The 24,341-nt window shown below is 38.9% G+C and overlaps 1 long non-coding RNA gene across 1 annotated transcript in view, besides 1 other annotated feature; it reads left to right on the forward strand.

Annotated features, from left to right (window-relative positions):
- LINC01060 (long intergenic non-protein coding RNA 1060) overlaps positions 1-24,341 on the forward strand; it is a 146,331-nt gene that overhangs the window by 13,778 nt on the left and 108,212 nt on the right. The window contains exons 3-4 of the long non-coding RNA NR_033869.1: positions 7,343-7,401; positions 16,424-16,510. This is a non-coding gene — a long non-coding RNA (long intergenic non-protein coding RNA 1060). The remainder of the gene's footprint in view (positions 1-7,342; positions 7,402-16,423; positions 16,511-24,341) is intronic.
- Positions 15,685-16,884: an enhancer, noted in NCBI's record as "BRD4-independent group 4 enhancer chr4:189406194-189407393 (GRCh37/hg19 assembly coordinates)". NCBI's record gives its function as "activates an origin of replication core promoter dependent on BRD2, P300/CBP, MED14 and CDK7 cofactors, and independent of BRD4, by STARR-seq in HCT116 cells {active_cell/tissue: HCT116}" and the evidence as "EXISTENCE:reporter gene assay evidence [ECO:0000049][PMID:35650434]".

Raw genomic sequence — 24,341 nt, forward strand, 5'->3', positions numbered from 1 at the left:
CCAGCTCGGTGGCTCACGCCTGTAATCCCAGCACTTTGGGAGGCCGAGGCGGGTGGATCACGAGGTCAGGAGATCGAGACCATCCTGGCTAACACCGTGAAACCCCGTCTCTACTACAAATACAAAAAATTAGCCGGGCGTGGTGGCGGGCGCCGGTAGTCCCAGCTACTCGGGAGGCTGAGGCGGGAGAATGGCGGGAACCCGGGAGGCGGAGCTTGCAGTGAGCCGAGATCGCGCCCCTGCACTTCAGCCCCGGGGGACAGAGCGAGACTCCATCTCAGAAAACAAACAAACAAACAAACAAAAAAACTGGTGAGGGTTATAATAAATATATGTGAATTAAATAAAAATGTGTTTTAAATGTCATCAATTGTTTTATATTTCTTAATAAATTTCTCTTTTGTCAATTTCATTATTCAGCAAACGCAGAAACTTAAGATTTTCTGCTGTTTGTAGTAATGTAGTATATTTCATCATATGGCAAGTGCTACCAGAGAGAAGTAGGATTATTATTTATTGTGGTTTTTGCAAAACCAGAGGCCCATGCCAGGAGTTTTATTCAGCACGGCTCCTCTTTGATTCCTGTCACACCTAGACACAATGAAGGTGATTTGCAAAAAAGTAGAAGAAATAAAAGAAAAACAAAACAAAAACTCTTCTTGCCAAGATTTCTAAAGTAATGAAGAAATAACGTCACTTGTAAAAGGGGTTTCTAAAATTACCTATCTGGAACAGAAGAAAGCAAGAGTCCGGTACCCCTATCAAATCAATTGGTTTAACATGTTTTCCCTTTTAAAGTAAAATAATAATTTAAATAATAAATACACATTTTTATTTATATAATGCCATTTTTAATATAGTATCATTTTTCTACTGGGATTTTATAGTTTAATAGACGTTCATCATTAGTGTGCTGTTTCAAATCCTGGCCCTGCTCTATATTTTTTGGTTGGTTTGTTTGGATATTATTACCATAAAAACAAAAACAGGCTTGCAATGGCTGCAGATTCACAGAAGATTATTAGAAATAAAAGTTTATTGTTAAATATTTTGTCATAGCAAAATATATTTTTCTTTAAGAGAAAAAAGTTTTTATCTAAATATTATCAAATTTATTACTTTCATCACTTACGTAAGTTAACCAGTTCATATGCATCTGTATGTCTCAGTAGAGACCACCAACTTCAACATTAATGTGTTTTATTTTCTCAAAGTTGGACTTCAGACAAAAATTATAAAACTGGAAGATAGTAATATTTAAGGATGCCTTCCTAAAATTATCTTAAGTACATCGAATATTTCCAAAAAATGTTTTTCCTCTGAGAGTTTCCTATGCTGGTAAGAAATATTTTGGGAACAGAATAGACAAGGATTAAGTGAAAAATAAATGTCCCTTTTTACTCTTATTCCAGTTCTCAGAGGAAACAGTTTCTTGCACGGACTTCCAGTTATTTTCTATACATAGGAAGTATATTATATATAACAATATAAAATTTATCATGAATGAACTACTCTATACACACTCTGACAGTTACTTTTTAAGTTAAACAATATCTCGAGTGTCTCACATATCTATACTCTCACAAGTATTACATATATATTACATACATACTTGCCTAATTAGTTTTTGGTGACAATATATTGTATTATTATATGAATGTACTATAATTTTTAATAGCAAGTCTCTTTGCAAGTGTAGCTCCAGCTTCTATTAGGAGTGAAATCCCTGGATAAAATATAACTTGTCTCCAAAGCTGATTCTCCAAAACTGTTTCAATTTCCATTCCCGCATGGTAATATCAATAGAATAATTGCCCATTGTCCCACAACCTGTTTAACATGGTCACACAGCGGGATTCTGACTTTGCCAAATGGCTCACTTCAATAAGCTTAATGAATGTTTAAATGAATGAATGTCAATTTATGAATGAGGATTACCATCTTCTCATACACGACTACTGAATGTATCTCACTTTCTGAATGGGAATCATCTTCTCATATACTACCACTTTTTTTTTTTTGAAACAGGGTTTCACTCTGTTGCCCATGCTAGAGTGCAATGGCATGATCATAGCCCGCTGCAGCCTTGAACTCCTGGGCTCAAGCTACCCTCCCACCTCAGCCTCCTGAGTAGCTAGGACTACAGGTGTGAACCACCATGCCCAGCTAATCGTGTGTTTGTTTGTTTGTTTGTTTGTTTGTTTTAGAGAACACCAGGCTGGTCTCGAACTCTTGGGCTCAAGTGATCCTCCTGCCTCAGCTTCCCAAAGTGCTGGGAATCAGGCATGAGCCACTGTGCCCACCCTTATACTACCTTTTTTTTTTTTTTTTTTTTTTTTGAGACGGAGTCTCACTCTGTTACCCAGGCTGGAGTGCAGTGGTGCAATCTCTTCTGACTGCAACCTCCACCTCCTGGGCTCAAGCGATTCTCCTGCCTAGCCTCCCGAGTAGCCTGGATTAAGGGCGTGCACCACCACGCCTGGCTAATTTTTGTATTTTTTTATAGTAGAGACGGGGTTTCACCATGTTGGCCAGGATAGTTTTGAACACCTGACCTCAAATGATCTGCCCGCCTCGGCTTCCCAAAGTGCTGGGATTATAGGTGTGAGCCAGTGTGCCCAGCCCCCTTATACTACTTTTATATGTCTTGCCTGGTTTTTTCTTCTGACCAGATTTATAATTAAATAACTGGTTTTTTTTCTTACTGACTTTCATGAAATTTTAATTTATCAGGAAATTAGTTCTGTTGTTAATTTATGTTGTACATATTTACTCTAATTTATCTCTCTTAAAATGTTTTGTTTTTTGGCCAGACGTGGTGGGTCATGCCTGTAATCCCAGCAATTTGGGATCACCTGAGGTCAGGAGTTCAAGACCAGCCTGGCCAACATGGCAAAACCCCATCTCTGCTAAAAACAAAAATTAGCTGGGTGTAATGGTGCGCACCTGTAATCCCAGCTACTCGGGCGGCTGAGGCAGAGCAATCGTTTGAACCCGGGAGGTGGAGGTTGCAGTGAGCTGAGACCTCACCACTGCACTCCAGCCTGGGTGACAGAGCAAGACCCTGTCTCAAAAAAAAAAAAAGTTTTATTTTTTAATATATACATACTTTAGTGGGACATAAGAATGATTTAGGGCACTTCAATTTGGGTCTATTTTTTCTTTCTTTTATTATACTTTAAGTTCTGGGATACATGTGCAAGACGTGCAGGTTTGTTACAAAATAGGTATACATGTGCCATGGTGGTATGCTGCACTCATCAACCCGTCATCTACATTAGGTATTTCTCCTAATGCTATCCCTCCCCTAGTCCCCCAGCTTCTGACAGGCCCCAGTGTGTGATGTTCCCCTCCCTGTGTCCATGTGTTCTCATTGTTCAGCTCCCACTTATGAGTGAATATGTGGTGTTTGGTTTTCTGTTCCTGTGTTAGTGTGCTGAGAATGATGGTGTCCAGCTTCATCCATGTCCCTGCAGAGGACATGAACTCATCCTTTTGTATGGCTGCACAGTATTCCCTGGTGTATATGTGCCACGTTTTCTTGATCCAGTCTGTCAGTGATGGGCACAGCCACTTGGGCCTGTTTTCTAGGGACACGTCTCTCTGCAGATGGTTACAGCCTCCTTCGGTTTGCGCAGATCGCCCTCAGACGAAATGTCAGCATGTCTCTCAATGAAGCTCTTTAATCCACAGTCGTTTTGTTTTCAGCTCAGTTGTTTCTGGTCGGTGCAAAGCTGACTGCAGTTTTTCTTCTCTTTTCAATGTTTGTAACTTTTCTTCTCTGTGCTTGACCTCTAAATTAGGATTTGTGTTGAAGTAAAGAATTGTAATAACCTGCAGAGTCACCCTTAAATCTGGATACCCCCTCTTTCTCTTTCTCTCTCAGAATGGAGTACTCCAGAGCAATGTTCTCCACTTCTCCCACGGCATTATCGCACCCCTAAGTCTCTCTTCTAACTAGGATATTCTTCTCTGGGTTCTCAGGTCCCTGGAGGTCTCAGGGACATTGATGCCATGTTCAGGGTCTAAAAGGTAAGGTTTTTGTGCTTTGTACTTCTTCAGTTTGGCCCAGATGTCCTTGTATTCGTGAGATATTTTTCACAGTGATTCCTACAGTATTTTAAGATCAGTTCTCTCACCTGTTTTTACTCTTTTTGTCTACATAGGGGATATCAGAGACAGGATATAAATAGTAATATTTTATTCTTTCAGGAAGCTATAAATGTATTTAGATTATTACAATTTGTACAGACTCTAAGCAGAAATATAATCACATCATTTATGATATTTATCTTCATAAATAGATATTTGAATTGGCTTCCAAAATGACCTTAGAGATGTACTTACTTAATGATGGTGGCCTTGATCTTTTTGTGATTAGATAATAGCCCAGCATGTGGCCACAGTAGCAGAAACACACAGTATGTGCTGGTTAATTGGCTCTACTCGCTTCATGCATTATTACAGCTTATCTGCTGCTTGTGGACTGGTACATGTTGAGCTTCTCAATAATCAAAGAAGAAATCAGGTGCCAGGTCACAATCCAGACCCAAGAAGTGTCTGCTTTTCTGTTTTCCACATGAAGTCATCATTTAGCATTCTTTTCTTCTTTTTCAATGGTGGAGAAGCCTCTGGTATGTAAAACATGAGTAAAGTTCAAATAGGGTCAAATTCCGGAAGGCAGCACAGAACTTTTCCTCCTAGCCGTGTTACTTTGGCCGTACATCCTTCTATCATCCCATGCAGCTGGGAATGGGGGCTGCCATTTTCATTTTGATCAACCATTCCTCAAAAGGGCATTTAGAGAGTCATTAGGGTCTAGAGTCATGAAATGAGTAGAATAACAGAAGGTAGCATGTCAGAAGACCATGGGCAGCCCCCAGGCTGTATTTGCAGTCCCCGTTCTGCATAATGTGTCCAGTTGGTATGTAATGATGCACGCACAGAAGAGAACCAAACACTCAAATGTTTTGGCTATAATCAAAATTATACCTTGAGTTTCAATGTACTTATGTCTTTGAAAATGGTATTTTAAGGACCAGAAATGTACACAGTGTTCTGTGTTTTCAATACACAAAAATAAACCTTATGCACGTAAGTGTAGGCCTCACTGCTGGGCTGTATTCCTTCCTACCACGGACCCTGTAAATACTGTAGAACTATCCAAACAACATCTAAACTTCAGATGTAAAATTCCTAACTCCTAATATTACAAACATTCAACTATTTTGATGGAAAAAATAGGAAGCATGACAATCATTTATAAGAGAAAGAAAATATATTTCTCAATGAACACAGATTCCTTGACATGGACACTTTCCTGCAGCTTCCGAAGACACCAGCAGTGGAAGGTTATACTATTCATCGATGGCCAGGGCTGGTTGCAGGAGATATTATGATGCTTTGAAGGTTGTCCTGGTCATCTTTATAAAATATATGTCAACCACACCTGCTGAGGCTACAGAGCACTGACAGAGGGTAAGAGACTAGAGAAGGAAAAGCTTTGATAAGATAGCTGAAGATAATCAGAAAAGATGGTAACTAATCAAATAAACATCCTCTTGCGTGCACAATGTCAGGAATGCAGCTCTGGAAACAATGCCTTTGTCAGAGCACTGTTAGCCGTAGGGTGTGTGCCTTCCTCCTCTTGTGCTTAGTGTTTGGAGAATTTTTGTTCGTTTGTTTGAGACAGAGTCTCACTCTGTCGCCCAGGCTGGAGTGCAATGGCGCAATCTCGGCTCACTGCAACCTCCACCTCCCGGGTTCAAGCAATTCTCCGCCTCAGCCTCCTGAGGAGCTGGGACTACAGGTGCCCACCACCATGCCTGCCTAATTTTTTTGTATTGTTAGTAGAGTTGGGGTTTCGCCATCTTGGCCAGGCTGGTCTTGAATTCCTGACCTCGTGATCCACCCTCCTTGGGCTCCCAAAGTGGTGGGATAACAGGTGTCAGCCACTGTGCCCAGCCTGAGAATTTTAAAAAGAAGTAGAAAAGTGCTATTCTTGATTAAGCAGCTGTCATATCAGACACTGGAGAATGTGGCCCAAGCTCACATGGTTCATTTCTGCAACAGCTCTTGCAATCTATACATTGTTGTCACCACTCTATGGGGAATCAATGAGAATGGTGGCAGAAAAGTACTCTGCTGAATGGTGAGGCAGATATAAATCTGGCCTAAGTGAAACAAAAAACTCTCCATTTTTAACTACACTTTACTGGCTCCAGGACTGGACATTTTCAGGGGTAGTATAGGGAAGGACTAAGGATATCGAGGGTTCTTGGATGAAATAATACATAGATTGTTGGTCCTGGCTGAGTGCAGAAACAAGGGAAAACAGCAGGGCTTGAAAGCTTAGGAGAAAATGGAGGGAGGCAAGAGGTTGGAGGACTTAGTGGATTCATGGAGAACAAATAGAAATACGGAAGTTAGAAGGAGAGTGATAAGAGGCAAGGCAAAGTAGGTGATGAAATTACCCAAAGTATGACTCTGGGATTGGGTTGCTGAAGAAGAGATAATAAATTCTTTAAAGTAAGTAAGAGTGGTGAAGTGCTTATCCCATGTGACTTATTAGAGACAGAATCTGAAATATAATTTGGGTTTACATTATGAAATTTAGTGCATTATGCCATAAGAATGCTGTGTCTCCTAATCCATTATGTTCGTTAAGGTGGAGCTTTACATGTGTCTTGATATCTGAGTATAATCTTTTGCAATAAATTACAGAAGTTGTCTCATCACTAATTTGGGGTGTGCTGATTTTGTTTCTAAGTTTATAAAATGAAAGTCTTGATTTTTGTTGGTTAAATATTTTGAAAAATTGCAGTTCAAGAGCAAAGTTATGTTTTACTCATCAGTTTTTTGAATGAAAAATTATGTGAACGAGATAACTTTTGTATGAATTTTTAATTTTTAGTAAAGTTACTTAAGTTATGTTTATTCTCCAAAATATTATCAGTCACATTTATTTAGTGCTCAAGACTAAATAAGAATTTTAGACAGATTCTCGCTCTGTCGCCCAGGCTGGAGTGCAGTGGCGTGATCTCGGCTCACTGCAAGCTCTGCCTCCTGGGTTCACGCCATTCTCCTGCCTCAGCCTCCCAAGTAGCTGCAACTACAGGCGCCCACCACCATGCCCGGCTAATTTTTTCGTATTTTAGTAGAGACAGGGTTTCACCGTGTTAGCCAGGATGGTCTTGATATCCTGACCTCGTGATCTGCCTGCCTCGGCCTCCTAGAGTGCTGGGATTACAGGCGTGAGCCACGGTGCCTGGCCAATTTTTTTAAAATTATGAAACTAGGAAACATTGTTCTATTAAAAATATTTTTCTCTATCTATTCACAGTAACACTGAAGAATGCAGTTTACTTACATCTTTTTCTGTTTGACAGAAGACAGTTATTAGTAAGTATAATTATTAGATAAAGTATACTTATTTTCCATGTTTAAAATATGAAAAATATGCAATATAGGTTGGTACTAAGAGGGGAAATCTGCTTCTGATCAAAATTTTATTTTAAATATCATTTTTATTTCTTTTGTCCTAAGTTATATACTTTTTCTTCTATTACTTATTGCAAAGTTACTTTAAAAGAAAACAAAATCAAAGAAAGCAATCAACCAAGATTTTAAAAATAATAATAGCAGAATCTCTCCTCAATTCTTTCCTCTTCTCCACTCCATCTTGCCTTCACAGCTTTTTTTGTTTCCAAAGGTAGTCAAAACATTTTAGATATTTATGCCAAAGGGCATGGATCTGTGATACCGTGGGTCCTGCCAAGCTGAAGGTTTTCCTTTGGCCAAGATAAGTTACTGTGGAAGGAAAGTAACTCTTCCAATCCACGGTTCTTAGAAAATTATACTTTTATACTTTTTAAATTTTAAATGAAATGCCCCACAGCTTTCAATGCATACCCAGTTCAGAGAATTTGAATATCATCCAACATGCTTCCACAGTGATCCCAGTCTGAGAGGACTGTGTTATTATGTAAATGCATAGCTTGCTTTCTAGGTAATAAATGATAAAACTCTTCATACAGGAGAATTTGGTCTTCGGTGTATTTCTATATGTATTGAAGGTTTGCTGTGAAATCACTCTGGAATCTCTCAGCTGGTCTGCTCCACAGTATCCTACTGGTCTTGGGCTTTGTATATTAACTTTCCAGAACTCATGCTCACTACAGACTTGCTTTAGGGCCTCTAAATATTTGTTGCTTTTGCATGCCAAGAGTTTTATCCTTATTTTTGGAGACAGGAGAGGATGTGAGTGTTGAATTGTATTTCAGGTTACCCTTGGGACATCAAAATGACCAAGGCAGTGTCTGCTAAGTATTTGCTGAGACTCTGCTATGATTCTTTCAAGTCTAAAGACAGTTATCTGAATGATATCCCCGTGACAGTGGACTCCTGCACATTCACAGTCCTGGAAGGAGCCTGTCCACATTGGCATTCTGGAAGTCCATAAAAGACAAACGCATATGCAGTCCCCGAGAAAGCATTGTTGTAAACAAATCTGCACTAGATGGAAACTCTGTTATGTGGTGCCGGCATGCATGGAAGAGTAAGTCCAGAACTACACCTGGAAGTTCTTTTTACTAAAAGAACACACAGTTCTTTTTTACTTTATTATATTGTATTTTATTTTATTTTGTTTTATTATACTTTAAGTTCTAGGGTACATGTGCACACATGCAGGTTTGTTACATATGTATACGTGTGCCATGTTGGTGTGCTGCACCCATCAACTCATCATTTACATTACGTATATCTCCTAATGCTATCCCTCCCCCCTCCCCCCATCCCACAACAGGCCCCGGTGTGTGATGTTCCCCGCCCTGTGTCCAAGTGTTCTCATTGTTCAATTCCCACCAATGATTGAGAACATGCGGTGTTTGGTTTTCTGTCCTTGTGATAGTTTGCTCAGAATGATGGCTTCCAGCTTCATCCATGTCCCTGCAAAGGACATGAACTCATCATTTTTTATGGCTGCATAGTATTCCATGGTGTATATGTGCCACATTTTCTTAATCCAGTCTATCATTGATGGACATCTGGGTTTGTTCCAAGTCTTTGCTATTGTGAATAGTGCTAGAATAAAATACATGTGCATGTGTCTTTATAGTAGCGTGATTTATAATCCTTTGGGTATATACCCAGTAATGGGATGGCTGGGTCAAATGGTATTTCTAGTTCTAGATCCTTGAGGAATTGCCACACTGTCTTCCACAATGGTTGAACTAATTTACACTCCCACTAACAGTGTTAAAGTGTTCCTATTTCTCCACATCCTCTCCAGCACCTGTTGTTTCCTGACTTTTTAATGATCGCCATTCTAACTGGTGTGAGATGGTATCTCATTGTGGTTTTGATTTGCATTTCTCTGATGGCCAGTGATGATGAGCATTTTTTCATGTGTCTGTTGGCTGCATAAATGTCTTCTTTTGAGAAGCGTCTGTTCATATCCTTTGCCCACTTTTTAATGGGGTTGTTTCATTTCTTCTTGTAAATTAGTTTAAGTTCTTTATAGATTCTGGATATTAGCCCTTTGTCAGATGGGTAGATTGCAAAAATTTTCTCCCATTCTGTAGGTTGCCTGTTCACTCTGATGGTAGTTTCTTTTGCTGTGCAGAAGCCCTTTAGATTAATTCGATCCCATTTGTCTATTTTGGCTTTTGTTGCCATTGCTTTTGGTGTTTTAGTCTTTGCCCATGCCTGTGTCCTCAATGGTATTGCCTAGGTTTTCTTCTAGGGATTTTTTTTTTTTTTTTTTTTTTGAGACGGAGTCTCGCTCTGTGGCTCAGGCTGGAGTGCAGTGGCGCGATCTCGACTCACTGCAAGCTCCGCCTCCTGGGTTCACGCCATTCTCCTGCCTCAGCCTCCCGAGTAGCTGGGACTACAGGCGCCCGCCATCACGCCCGGCTAATTTTTTTGTATTTTTTTAGTAGAGACGGGGTTTCTCCGTGTTAGCCAGGATGGTCTCGATCTCCTGACCTCGTGATCCGCCCGCCTCGGCCTCCCAAAGTGCTGGGATTACAAGCGTGAGCCACCGCGCCCGGCCTCTTCTAGGGATTTTATAGTTTTAGGTCTTACATTTAAGTCTTTAATCCATCTTGAATTAATTTTTGTATAAGGTGTAAGGAAGGGATCCAGTTTCAGCTTTCTACATATGGTTACCCAGTTTTCCCAGCACCATTTATTAAACAGGGAATCCTTTCCCCATTCCTTGTTTTTGTCAGGTTTGTCAAAGATCAGATGGTTGTAGATGTATGGTGTTATTTCTGAGGCCTCTGTTCTGTTCCATTGGTCTATATATTTGTTTTCGTACCAGTACCATGTTGTTTTCGTTACTGTAGCCTTGTAGTATACTTTGAAGTTAGGTAGCATGATAGCATCACAATTCTATACACATTTCAGGAATGATTTTTTTAAAGAGACACCTCAATTCTTAATGATTTTTAAATTTTTGTAAAATAATCAAATGCAACCAATGGACTGATTGAATAAATCTACTTTTCCCTTTTTGTTGATGGGCCCTAAATTTCCAAGTCTTCTGTGTATAAGGTGGGCTTAATTTTACAAATAGTCATTTTGAAGTTAAAATAACTTGTTTTCTGTATACCCAATTTTAAAATTCAGAATGCCATATCAGCCACTTTATGGATAATTTCTCACATACTTCTTTCTCTGAATATGAGAATTTTAAAAATTTATGCAAAAATGTTTCAACTTACAATGGCATATTTTAATATAACATCTTCAATTTCAACTTTTTCCTTTTGGATATACTTTTATAGAAAGGAATTCAGTATTTATTAAACCACTATTTTCTTCATCTATTGGCAGTGTGTTTAAGGAATTCAGTTTATACCTTGTGGGAATCTTTTTCAGATAAACTGTATATCAAGTAGTTTTGTGGTGTTTGAAGGAACTTTTTGGCATTCAGGGCCATTTCTTGTGCTGTACAAAGCAGCCCTTAGTGCTTTCTGGAGAGCAGACTACTTAAAATTCATATGAACACATTCGATGTGATGTGTATGTTTAGAATCACTATTGAAATATTTCTCTATTTAATTGGGGTGGTTCATGCTAATTCACATGGCGGACATTGGCAGCTATTTTCAGTCTACCAATTTTTTCTTCGGGGGACATAGTAAAATCTCTGCTTCCATAAATGTTTCCACTTTCTGAATGCAGCAGTTTTCCCTTCTTCTTCTAGCTCTTTCTTAGTGGGCAGAGAGAACAGGAAATGCTAGTTGTTGCAATGCAAGCCTGGCAGGCAAGCACACCTCTCTTCCCCAGGAACTGAGTAAGCCACGATGCTCAACTCCAGTGACTGTTGAATTTCAACAGCTGCACCCTCTCTTTTTACCCCTGGTGTCACATAGAGCATATGCTCTTGGACATTCAGGAAATCAAGTATTGCTTCCATTCTGGCCATGGTGCTAGAAATGCAGGGTTTTATCTCTTTACCTCAACCATTTCTGTCTCCTCCCTCAGCTCCTAGGAAGCTGCTGACTCACCCTTTTCTTGACAAGTCCTTCTGGGTAGTCTTCCTGGATAGCATCTGAGATGAACCCCAAACTGGCACACTTTCTATCTCTTTCTGTCTGCCACATCTGGAATCACAATAAAGAGGACACTACTGGTAAGGACTTCAAATGCATGTCAAATGGTCAGAGCCATGGGCTCTAGGAACAGGTGCCAGCAAGTCACAACAAAGGGTTAAATGAGACCAATCTGCCCACTCCACAGTGGGCACCTCTGGACTCTGGGTGGATCTGAGGACTCTTCTTTGGTCTGAATATGTTGGAAACTTATTTGCCAGTGAAACAGTTTTGAGACATGAAACCTTTAAGAAGGCAGAGCCCTCATAAGTGGACTAACACCATTATCGTGGAAGTGGGTTCATTATTAAGAGAGTAGGCTTGTTATAAAAGCAAGTTCAGCCTCCTCTTGCTCTTGCTCTTGACCTCTTTTGCCGTTCCACTTTCTGTCATGACATAATGCAGCATGAAGGCCCTTGTCAGATGTCGGCATCATGCTCTTGGACTTCCAGCCTCCAGAACCATGAACCACATAAACTTCTGTTCATCATAAATTACCCAGTCTGTGGTACTCTGTTACAGCAGCATAAAACAGACTAACACAGACCCATCATCTCCTGACACAGATATAAAGTGAATCCCTAGCAGGCATCTTTGTCCCTCAGAAAAGTCCTGGAGGCCAAGTAGTGGAACAGCAGCATACCAATATCTTTCCCACAAAAAACCTTTCTAATTTCGTGTCCAATATTTCTAAAAGAATGGAGGCAAGTGGTCTTCCGAGGGTCCCCAAATTATTCCCAGCCGCCTCCTTGGCAAGGTCTGCTTTGATGGATTCACAGATTGTTCTGCAATATGAGTAGCATTGACAGTTACTATCTTTGGGCCTCAGTCAAAACAGAGACAGAGAATACCCATTTAACAGGCACTCCAACTTAGGTATCCACAGAACGTATAGTTTTGTTATTCTCTATCATGGGCCTGCTCTTGCCAATGTTTCAGCAGATAGCTGCGTAGTTTAGAATTTCTAGTTAATAATATTTCAGTTTCAACTGTCTCCCTTCAGTTTAATATGGGGTGTATTTAAAATAAATACAACTCCCTATTAGATATTAAAGGATTGTTTTGGAACAACTGAGTCCTTTCAGATAAATCTTCAATACTCTACTTTTCTCTCACTTCTCTCACTCTTTTTTGTTTGTTTTTTTGTTTGTTTGTTTGTTTGTTTGAGACAGAGTCTCACTCTGTCACCCAGGCTGGAGTGCAATGGTGTGACCTTGGCTCACTGCAACCTCCGCTTCTTGGGTTTAAGTGATTCTCATGCCTCAATCTCTGGAGTAGCTGGGATTACAGGCATGTGTCACCACACCTGGCTAATTTTTTTTGGTAGTTTTTGTAGAGACACAGCCCACCTTGGCCTCCCAAAGTGCTGAAATTACAGGTGTAAGCCACTGCGCCCAGACTCACTCTCCTTTACTTCTCCAGGTTGGTGGCTGTGTCTATGAGGAGTACCCTTTCTATGTCTGCAGGAGGAGAGTGGGTCCTTGCATCCACACAGCAGCCTGGAGTGTCACTCTGGACACTCTCTTGCCTCAGCCTCCCGAGAAGCTGGGACTACAGGCATGTGCCACCACACCCAGCTAATTTTTGTATTTTTAGTAGAGACGGGGTTTCACTATGTTGGCCAGGATGGTCTTGATCTCTTGACCTCGTGATCTGCCTGCCTCGGCCTCCCAAAGTGCTGGGATTACAGGCGTGAGCCACTGTGCCTGGCTGATAGTTTCTTATACTGTGAAGAAGCTCTTTAGTTCAATTAGATCCCATTTGTTAATTTGTGCTTTGTTGCAATTGCTTTTTGTGTTTTTGTTATGAAATCTTTGCCACTTCCTATGTCCAGAATGGTATTTCCTAGGTTATTTTCCAGGGTTTTTATAGTTTTGGGTTTTATATTTAAGGCGTTAATCCATTTTGAGTTGATTTTTGTGTATGCTGTAAAGAAGGAATCCAGTTTCAGTCTTCTACATGTGGCTAGCCAGTTATCCTAGCACCATTTATTGAAATAAGAAGTCTTTTCTCCATTGCTTGTTTCTGTCATATTTGTCAAAGGTCAGATGATTTAGATGTCTGGTCTTATTTCTGGATTATCTATTTGGTTCTGTTGGTCTATGTGTCTGTTTTTGTACCAGTATCATGCTGTTTTAGTTACTGTAGCCTTGTAGTATAGTTTGAAGTCCGGTAATGTGATGCCTCCAGCTTTGTTATTTTTGCTTAGGATTGCCTTGGCTATTTGGGCTCTTTTTAAATTGTGTAGTTAAGTAATGTTAAGCACATTCACCTGAATAATCTTGCCAAAGTAAAACTTTATAATCATTGAACAACAATTCCCACTTTTCAACTCTCCCCAACCCTGGTAACCACTATTCTATCTTGTGTTTCAATAAATTTTGCTACTTTAAATACCTTGTAAAAGTGGAATCATACAGTATTTGCCTTTTTGTAAGTGACTTATTTCATTTAGCCCAGAGTCTTCGAGGTTCATTTATGTTATAGCATGTGAAATAATTTCCTTTGTTTTTAAGGTAGAATAATATCACACTGTGTGCCTATACCACATTTTGTTTATCCACTCATCTGCTGATGAACGTTTAGGTTGCTTCCACCTTTTGGCTGTTGTGAATAGTACAGCTATGAACGTAGGTGTGAAAGACCTCAAGATGCTGTTTTTAATTCTTTTGGGTATATACTCAGAAGTGAGATTGCTAGATCATATATTCAATTTTTTGAAAAACCACTATAGCTTTTGAGCCAATGTTTCAACAGATAGCTGAATAAGTTAGAATTTACAGTGAACAATATTACAGTTTCTTCCAGTTTCAACTGTCTCCCTTCAGTTTAAATATGGAATCTATTTAAAATACACCCCCCATTCGATTTTAAATGATTACTTTGGAATAACTGAGTCTTTTTAGGTAAATCCTTAATACTTCACTTTCCATAGCTGTTGCACCATTTTACAGTCCCCACAGTGCACAAGAGTCCCGATTTCTCGACATTCTTGTCAATAGTTGTGATTTTACTTATTTATTTTGGTAGTATTCATCTGAATGGGAGTAAGGTGATATATCATTGCATTGCAATTGGTTTTGATTTGCATTTCTCTGATAATTAGTCACTAATTATTATTGAGCATCTTATACTTCCGTGATGACGTGGGAATTTTTCTTCATTGTACAACAGATATCATTATAGTGGCGTAGTTCTACACTCTACACAATTTTTTCTAACACTACACAAAAGCAAACACTAAATCTAACTTCCAATTGTCAGGATTACTGGTCTACTCCTCTACCCACCCATAGGCTGATTATAAATCTTTGAAATTAATTACATCTAAAATTTTTCTTTCCTGTCAAGTCACTGTTGACGAGGTTCCTCTGCTCACATTGGCAGTCTCTTTCTTTCTCATGATTCTTCAAGTCGTCATTTTGTTAGAGGCCAAGCTTTCACTCATGGACTGAAGTTATATTGTGTGCTTTTTGCCTGAGTGTTTAATCCCTTAATTTACAAGCGGATGTAGGAGTGCATACCCAGGAGGTGAGGGCAAAGACTCCCGTTGAGTCTTTGGAATCTCAAATCTGTTACCGTTTTGGCTTGGGACAACAAACATCCTGTCAGTCTCAATTGCTGTATAATTGAAAAGAGAATGATAACAGTTGTCCTACATACATCATAACTCTCTTTGAATCAATGATAATTAATCCATGTGAAAAGCTTTCAAAAACTTGTAAAAATCCCTCATAATTATATGGTGTTTTACAATTTACAAAGAACTTTCACATGCAGATTTCTCACGTGATTTTTATGTTTTGAGGGCAGAGTGAGAAATTATAAAGTATCTGTGTATATGCCAATAATGATGCCTAATATCCCCCACTTTACATATTTAAAAGACCTTTAAAATTATGGCTTTTCCTAGTTTTCACAGCACATTAAAAAAGCCAATACCACTACACAGGTGTGTAGTTTCTGGTCTTGTGCACTGACCATTTCCTACACCATCTTTTTGTATGCTCTCTAGCTTCCGTAGTTGTTACTCGAGTAGAAGAGTACTGAAAGGCCACGTAGAATATACAGCTTGGTTTCATCCCACTGATAAAAATCTACTTTTAACATACATGTTAAAATAATCAAGCCTGACTAAATTATTTTTGTATTTTTTCCATTTTACCTGTTATCAACTTTTTAATTAAGCAATGGGGCCATGGTAGGCAGGGTATTCCCTAGAACTTGTGAATATGTTACCCTACATGACAGAAGGACTTTCAGATGTAATTAAACTTAATGACGTTGAGTTAGAGAGAGGGTCCTGCCCAGTGGAATCACAAGGGTCCTTAAAGGTATAAGAAGGAGTCAGAGGACAGAGTCAGAAGGAGACGTGCTGATGTGAGAATGGTCAGAGAGATACAACCTTCCTGTCTTTGAAGATGGAGGAAAGGGGCCTTGAGCCAAGGATTGTTGTTGGCCTTTAGAAACTGGAAAATGCAAGAAAATCAAGTCTCCCTAAAGCCCCTAGAAGGGAACACAGTCCAACTAATTCATTTATTTTAGCCCAGGAGATCCCTGTTGGGCTTCCGACTTACAGTACTGGAAGATAATACATTCCTGGTGGTTTGTGTCACAAGGTCTGTAGTACTTTGTTCCAGTATCAGTAGAAAACCGGTAGAAGGGGAATTCACGTAAATATCATTACACACAGAAATAATTACTTATTATTCTTTTGTTCTCAAATCCTACCTTGTAAACAAAATGAATTTTTGTTTTTCGGGGCTTTTGTACTAATTCTTATGAATCCACTGATATTTTGTTTTTTCTGTCGTCTCCCTCAGGAACCCGAAAGGAAGAAGCTATACGACTGGGGACACATGTCTTAGAAGCACACTCATTAGATAAAGTGTCGCATACTCTTTGATAAGGTAAGGCTCCCTGGACGAGATGTTTTACAGGTACCATGAGCTCAGTGAATTGCTTTTGGAAAGACACTCAGCGGAGTGGGCACCACGAGGTTAGGAGAAGCAGCTTCTGCTCGTCATAACTTTGGCAAATGTTTACACATCAGTAATGAAAAATATTCTCTTGGCGATTTCAGGCTTGTTACTATGGATGTTGTTTGCTAACATTGACTATTTTTCCTAACTGCTTATAGAAACTCCAGGCTGTCACCCATCTGTTCTCTCATCAAAGTAGTTTTGGGCCAGCAACTATTTCAGACATTTCTACAGTTTCAGATGTCTCACTCTGCCTATGACTGTATGTTGTACTTGAGGACTGGACGCACAGGGTAAAGTGCAAATAGCAAGCATTCAGGTCCAACTCTCCTCCTTCTGGTTAACAATATGAAAGAAAGAGGTAGTATCGGAATTATTTTAGTTCAATGTAGCCATTATAAAATGTGTATATATTTTAAAACATCATGTGGTACATGATAAATATATACAACTTTTATTTTTCAATAAAAAATTATAAAAAAAGTCATCAAACCTGATTTCTCATACTACTTTTTTGGTAACACTCATCACACCAAAGACTTATTATTTTAAAATGTTATTTTTCATAATTAATTTCTTATTAATTTTATAGGCTAGATTTTAATTGTTATGTCTAAATAGTAGTGTCTGGTACGTGGTAGATAATCAATGTGACTTGAATAAATGAATAAGTCTGTTAACGACATACTTCTCATCACTGTAACTTATTTTTGGTTTAGGACTGATAAAACATTTTTTCTCTCACCCCATATTGCTAAAGATCAAATCCTTCTTCTTTAAGATGCTACCATACCATTGTTCCATTCATCAACGCCAAATCATTCCTCGGGCCTGAGAGGAGCTGCCATCCTTCACTTCGTCTTTGGGTCACTTCCAACCTCTGTTCTCTGTGTGTCTCTTCTGGACTTCCTGGGAGAATAGCCTCTCTCATGATACTCACTTTCTTCCACATCTTCAATCTCTGCTTCATTGATAGATTATGCTACTCAATATAGAAACAACATCTTTTTTATTTTTTAATGATAAACATTCTCCCCCTCAATCTTTTAACCTACTAATGCAGGCAATCTAATCTAAAGAATAGCCTGCAATGCCTCCTTTCATCATTTCCCATTTAATCCAGCTTTCTGGCTGAGTAATTTTGCAGAAAGCCCTTTCTCCCATGTCACAGATGGAACTTTGCAGTGGCCTATTCTGATAAACATGTGGCAGTTTACATGCTATTTGCATTTGAAGCTGTTTATCACTCCCTCCTTCTGAGTACTTTCTTCTTGGTGGGCTTTTATGATAGTAATTGCTATCCTACTGCTGAGTTTCTGACCACTGCTTGTCAGACACTTTATTATGCTCCCTTTCCTTTGCCCATACTTGCAAAGTTAGATTTCCACATATGCCTTTCCCGTCTTCTTATTCCATGAGATTTATCTAAGTGATTTCATCCATTGCTATGGGTTCAACTGCTGCTAATATGTTCTTTACTCCCAACTCTCTTTCTACAGCTTCACATATTTAACTGCCTTTTAGGGAATCACCAAAAGGCAATTCCATCTTAACATACACAAAACTGAACTTATGATCCTTAAGTATGAGGCCAGTTCTTTCTTATGCATTTTCTAAATCAGTGAGTGATACTATCTCTTGTCCTGTTGTCCTGGGCAGAATTGCAGGAGGTGACCGCTTTCTCTACCCTCCCTATAAAAATTACCATCTCTCGTTTACCAACCTCCCAATACCCCAATCATTAGTATCTTTTTAAGAAATGATTTTCTGTTGTTTAACATTTTTTATATGCTATTACCTATATGGTTTTCCTCCTGAAATGGGATATTGGGTAAGAGGGTACCAGATGGAGGTCACATAGACCTACAGTTTATTCAAAGGGGACATCTATGGAGCAAAGGCAAAATGGAGAACCCAGTGCAGCCAAACAGCTACTCAAAGGTCTGAGCAGAGATACAGAAATGACACAGGAGATAACAGAAAGAGAGAGACATATCAAGTGGGTTTTGAGTGTAGGCAAAACCACATTTACCCGTAGCTCTGGAGAACCCACTGGCACTGTTTTGAGACTGTTGCAGCCTGCAAGGGAGGGCGGACACTGAGTTCAGACACACACACCCTCCGACCAGCTCCCAAATGTCTGCTGACGTTTACAACTTTGCTTCCTGCTTTCCTACCTGGTCTTAGCCTTTTGATACACACCCTCCCACTGCTATCAGAGTAAGATTTGAGCTAAGTACATAATCTGGCCCTGCCAGATTATGACATTAGTTGGAGAATAGATAGGTCAATGGGACCTGAGATACATTTTAGAAAAATATTAATATGTATGCCTTATGTATAGTGTGCAGCTGGCATTTTAAACACGTGGAAAATGATGAAAAATTTAATAAACCATGAGAGGAAATTGGATAAATATTTCCGATACACACACACATCAGATTCCCTTTTTTATGTCACATGCAAAACTAAAATAATATTTGAATGGCTTAATCAGTGAAATATTTTTCTAAATTAACTAACATACCGGAAAATATTTGACTTATCTCAAACCAAATATGTATTTTTATTGTATAGGGTTTTTTCTTTTTTAAAAAATTTCAGCTTGCAATTTAGATATAGGAGGTACATGGGCAGATTTGTTACAATGGACTATTGCATGATGCTGTGGTTTGAAGTACGTTTCCCATCACCCTGGTAGTGAGCATAGTTCCTGATAGGTAGTCTTTTTTAACCTAACCTCCCTCCCTCCCTCCCTCCACCGTCTAGTAGTCCACAGTGTCTATTGTGTCTCATATTTATGTCCATACATGCTCAATGCTTAGCTTCCATTTATAAGTGAGAATATGTGGTATTTGGTTTTCTGTTTCTGCATTCATTTGCTTAGATCGCCCCAGCTCCATCTATGTTGCTGCAAAGAATGTGATTTTATTCTTTTTTATGGCGTATAGTATTTCATGGTGTTTATGTACCACATTTTCTTTGTCCAATTTCCTACTGATGGTCGCCTGTGTGGATTCCATGTCTTTGCTATTGTGAATAGTGATGCAGTGGACATCTGAGTGTAAATGTGTTTTTGGCAGAATGATTTATTTTCTTTTGAGTGTATACCCAGTAATGGGATTGCTGAGTCAAATGGTAGCTTTGTTTTAAGTTTTGAGAAATCTCCAGACTGCTTCCTCAGTGGATTGGTCTAATTTACATTCCCACTAACAGCGTATAAGCTTTCCCTTTTCTCTGCAATGTTGCCAGCATCTGTTTTTTTGACTTTTTATAATAGCCATTCTGACTGGTATGAGATGGTATCTCATTGTGGTTTTGATTTGGATTTCTCTGATGATTAGCGATGCTGAGCGTTTTTTCACACATTTGATGTATGTCTTCTTTGAGAAATGTCTGTTCATGTCTTTGCCCATCTTTTAATGGGGTTAATTGGGTTTTGTTTGTTCAACTGTTTAAGTTCCCTATAGATTCTGGATATTAGGCCTTTGTCAGGTGCATACTTTGCGAATATCTCCTCCCATTCCCTAGACTGCCTGTTTACTGTGCTGATTTTTACTCTCTGTTTATTTTGCTATGTAAAAGTTCTGGAGTTTAATTAGGTCCCACTTGTCCCGTTTTTGTTTTTGTTGCAAGTGCTTTTGGGGACTTAGCTAAAAATTATTTGCCAAGGCTGATGTCCAGAAGAATGTTTCCTAGGTTGCCTTCCAGAATTTTTATAGTTTGAGGTCTTACATTTAAATCTTTAATGTATTTTCAGTTAATTTTTGTATGAGGTGAAACGGAGGGGTCCAGTTTCATTCTGCTACATATGGCTAGCCAGTTATCCCAGCTGTGTTTATTGAATAGGGAGTTCTTTCCCATTGCTTGTTTTTGTTGGCCTTGTCAAAGATCAGATGGTTGTTGGTATGTAGCTTTATTTGTTTGTTTTCTATTCTTTTGCATTGGTCTATGTGTCTGTTTCTGTAACAGCACCATGCTGTTTTGGTTACTGTGGCTTTATAGTATAGTATGAGGTTGGAAAGAGTGATGCCTCTGGCATTGTTCTTTTTGCTTAGGCTTTCTTTGGCTGTTCAGGCTCTTTTTGGTTCAATACAAATTTTAGAGTAATTTTCTAATTTTAGTAAATTTTCTAAAGTAAATGTTCTAATCCTGTGAAGAATGACGTTGGTAATTTGATAGGTATAGCATTGAATCTGTAAAGTGCTTTGAGCAATACGGCCATTTTTACAATAGTGGTTTTGGTACTGAAACACCAGGTGCTCAGTCTAGGTCCTGCTGCTTGCTGCACAGAAAGCCAATGACTGAGACAGCAAGTATTGCCAAGGAAGAAGCTTTAATCCGGTGCTGCAGCAGAGGAGGTGGGAACTCAGTCTCAAATCCATCTCTCTGACCTACTAAAACCAGGGATTTATATAACAAGGAAGGAATGTAACATTGTGTAAGAAAACAGGAACTAGGGAGGTGTCAGGAAGCAATCGCGATGAATGAGGGGTACAACATCTCATTGTCTGGATGTGATGATCTACTGAGTTTCAGTTCTTTGACACTTTTTGTGAGAGGCCTGAAGGTCATTTCCTCAGGAAGGAACTCAGATAAAACAAATATAAGTTTCAAGCTTTAAGACCAGAAGGGTCAATTTCTATGTTTATTAAAAAGAAAAAAACTGTTAGACTGGGCGTGGTGGCTCATGCCTGTAATCCCAGCACTTTGGGAGGCTGAGGCGGGCAGATCACGAGGTCAAGAGATTGAGACCATCCTGGCCAACATGGTGAAGCATCATGTCTACTAAAAATACAAAAATTAGCCAGGCATGGTGGCACATGCCTGTAATCCCAGCTACTTGGGAGGCTGAGGCAGGAGAATTGCTTGAACCTGGGAGGCGGAGGGTGCAGTGAACTGAGATTGCACCACTGCACTCCAGCCTGGTGACAGAGCGATACTCCATCTCAAAAACAAAAACCAAAAACCAAAAAAACAAAAAAAAAACCAAACACCAGAATAAAACTGTCTATGGGACAATTGGGTCAGCTTTAGTTTTTCCAATCCTTGAGCATGGGATATTTTTCCATTTATTTGTGTCGTCTCATCTCTTATTTCTTTCAGCAGTGTTTTGTGCTTCTCGTAGAGATCGTTCATCTCCTTGGTTAGCTGTATGCCTATAGGTATTTTATTTTCTTTGTGGCTGTTGTAAGTGGGACTGTGTTCTTGATTTCACCCTCAGCCTGGATGCTGTTGGTGAAATATGTATTTTTAAAAAAGAAAAGCAAAAAAAAAAAATAGATAGACTTGACTAAACAAACATTATTATAAACAAGAATGAGTGTCAATATTCTTTTCCATAAGGTACTCTTACAAATCAGTGTAAAGAATTATAATTTCTCTATTTAAAAAAGGAGATAGCATTGCCAGTTCACAAATTGTATATAAGTGGCCTATGAATGCAAAAACCTCAATTGCATAAGTAATAAAAAAGTCTAAATAAAGTGATATTACAAATTGTATAAAAGTGGCCTATAAATGCAAAAACCTTAATTGCATAAGTAATAAAAAAAGTCTAAATAAAGTGATATTATTTTCTACTGATACAATTGATGGGGAGAAAAACCAAAATAAAGTGAACAGAAGAAAATGGGGAAAAAGGGAGCCTTTTAGACTGCTAGTGGGAGGGTAACTTTGTATAAACTATTAGAATACAATTTGTCAATCCGTGTTACAATCAAATTGTTCATTCACTTTGTAACAACAGTTCTATTTCTAGGAAATAATTATAGATGGCAACTATTTCTATATAAAGCTTTTCATTACAATGTTAAATATGATAAAATTGGGGATACTCAAGTGGTCACTAATAGGAGCATGACTAAATAAACTTTGGTAGTGACAGTGAATAGAATACCATGCATCTATTAGAAATGCCTTTTAGAAAATAAAGTCAATGGCATGGGGATACAGACATAATTTGTAAAGCAGTATAACTCAAATTTGTAGAAAGAAATTACAGGACAAAGACTGGTACTGATTCAAAATGGTGCCTGGCTACGACGGGCCTTTGTCCCCAGAATTAAGCCTGGAGAATTGTCCTCGAAGTAAAGCAGGTGCTCTACGTGTAGAAAGCTCCTGGTGCGGATGCTGGACTCTGAGAGAAGGCTGAGCACAGCCTTGGGTAATGCAGAACTTCCTCAAAAGGCAAGGAGGCAAAAATAAAACAAGTGAAGAGCAACTCTCTTAGAAGAGGAAATGCACTCAAGCCCTTGGGCCACAGAGAAAAGTGCTCCTGAAACTGGAAACTCTATGGTCTCCCAGCCTCCAGCCTGCCTGCTCTTCAGTCAGTCACCCTACAGGTGACACCCCCTGCATTCCCCACTCTCATTTTCAGAGAGCTGCTGCCGGGACCCTCATTCTGGGAATGGACTATGAGGAAGGAGACCTACATAGTTGTCAAGGAAACCTATGCCAGTTACATATGCCATACATTTTAATCGCTTAGTTATCAATGTGACAGGTAGGGAGAAAACACCAAATGCTTGAGGAAAACCAGGGGTATGAAAGAGAAGCATTAAGATTACTTTTTAATGGAAATGTATATATTCACCTAGGCTATTCTTCCTTACCCAAGTTGAAACTGAATAGTATGACCTAAACGTACATTTCGTGTGCTGGGAAGAAAAAGCAACTGATAACCCCCTTTCCCGTAGGTTTCCTGTCATTAATTTGCTCACCAGTGCAACCCCATTCAGGCCCCCAAGCTAGTGCCATCTTGTGTGCACAAGGCTGGGGCAATTGGATTCATAAGAAGTTTTGTCCATGAGGAATTTTCAGTCTAATGCCAAGTAATTGACAATGAAAATGTTTCCTGGTTTCCATCCAAATATTTATTAATACAGCAAAAATGTAGGATTTGTAGGATTTATGTATCTTCCAACTATCTCCACTACTGCAGGACACAGACACCATCTATAAATCTCACATTGTAACCACTAACACTTATCTTTGTTATTGTCACCTGGAATCTTTTATGCCAAAATAAGAGTCTTAAAAGAATGAAGCCCTGCAATTTCACTGTCCAACAACAGAGGTTTTACCTGATAAATCGTCTTCTCGTCTGACAGAGTGGGCCACAGAAACATCTCTGACAGCTGTTGCATGATGGAGTGGGAGCAAGGTCACTTCCTGCAAATGTTAGGGTTCTTCAGAATCCTTCAGGCGTTGGAGGAATAATTGAACTCAACAGGCAATCAGTCACGTCTGAAACATGTGAAATATACCTAAGGACCCGAGGTCAGGGTTGAGTGTCCAAATTCAACCAGTTATTCACACGGTCTGAAAATGAAAATGTTTCATTTCAGAGAAGTTTATATGGAGTCCTTGACAGAATGTTGAATATGAAATAGATTTTTTTTCTGTCTTCCTTTGAAAATCTTTGTGGATAAAGCTTAACATGGTGCATTAGAATCTTAGGAGTAAAATATCCCTCACAAAATTTGATATCTTATCTGATTAGTTAATACAGACATATTACATTTTTCAACTAATTTTTTTTCTTAAGAAGAATTCTTTCAGAAACGGAGAAGCATGTAGTAACATACTGATTTTAAGGAACCTATGCTAACAATTTTAAGTAGTAAAACTTAAAACTAAACTTAAGAAGTAATAAAAAGGTGATAATAGGATAATTACTATTTGGCATCCTACTAAGATATTTAGTTGGCAATTTAATTTTAAATTACCTGGTTTTCTCTGATATTCACATATTATT

Source organism: Homo sapiens, chromosome 4 (genome assembly GCF_000001405.40).
Source record: "Homo sapiens chromosome 4, GRCh38.p14 Primary Assembly".
NCBI classification, from domain to species: Eukaryota; Metazoa; Chordata; class Mammalia; order Primates; family Hominidae; genus Homo; species Homo sapiens.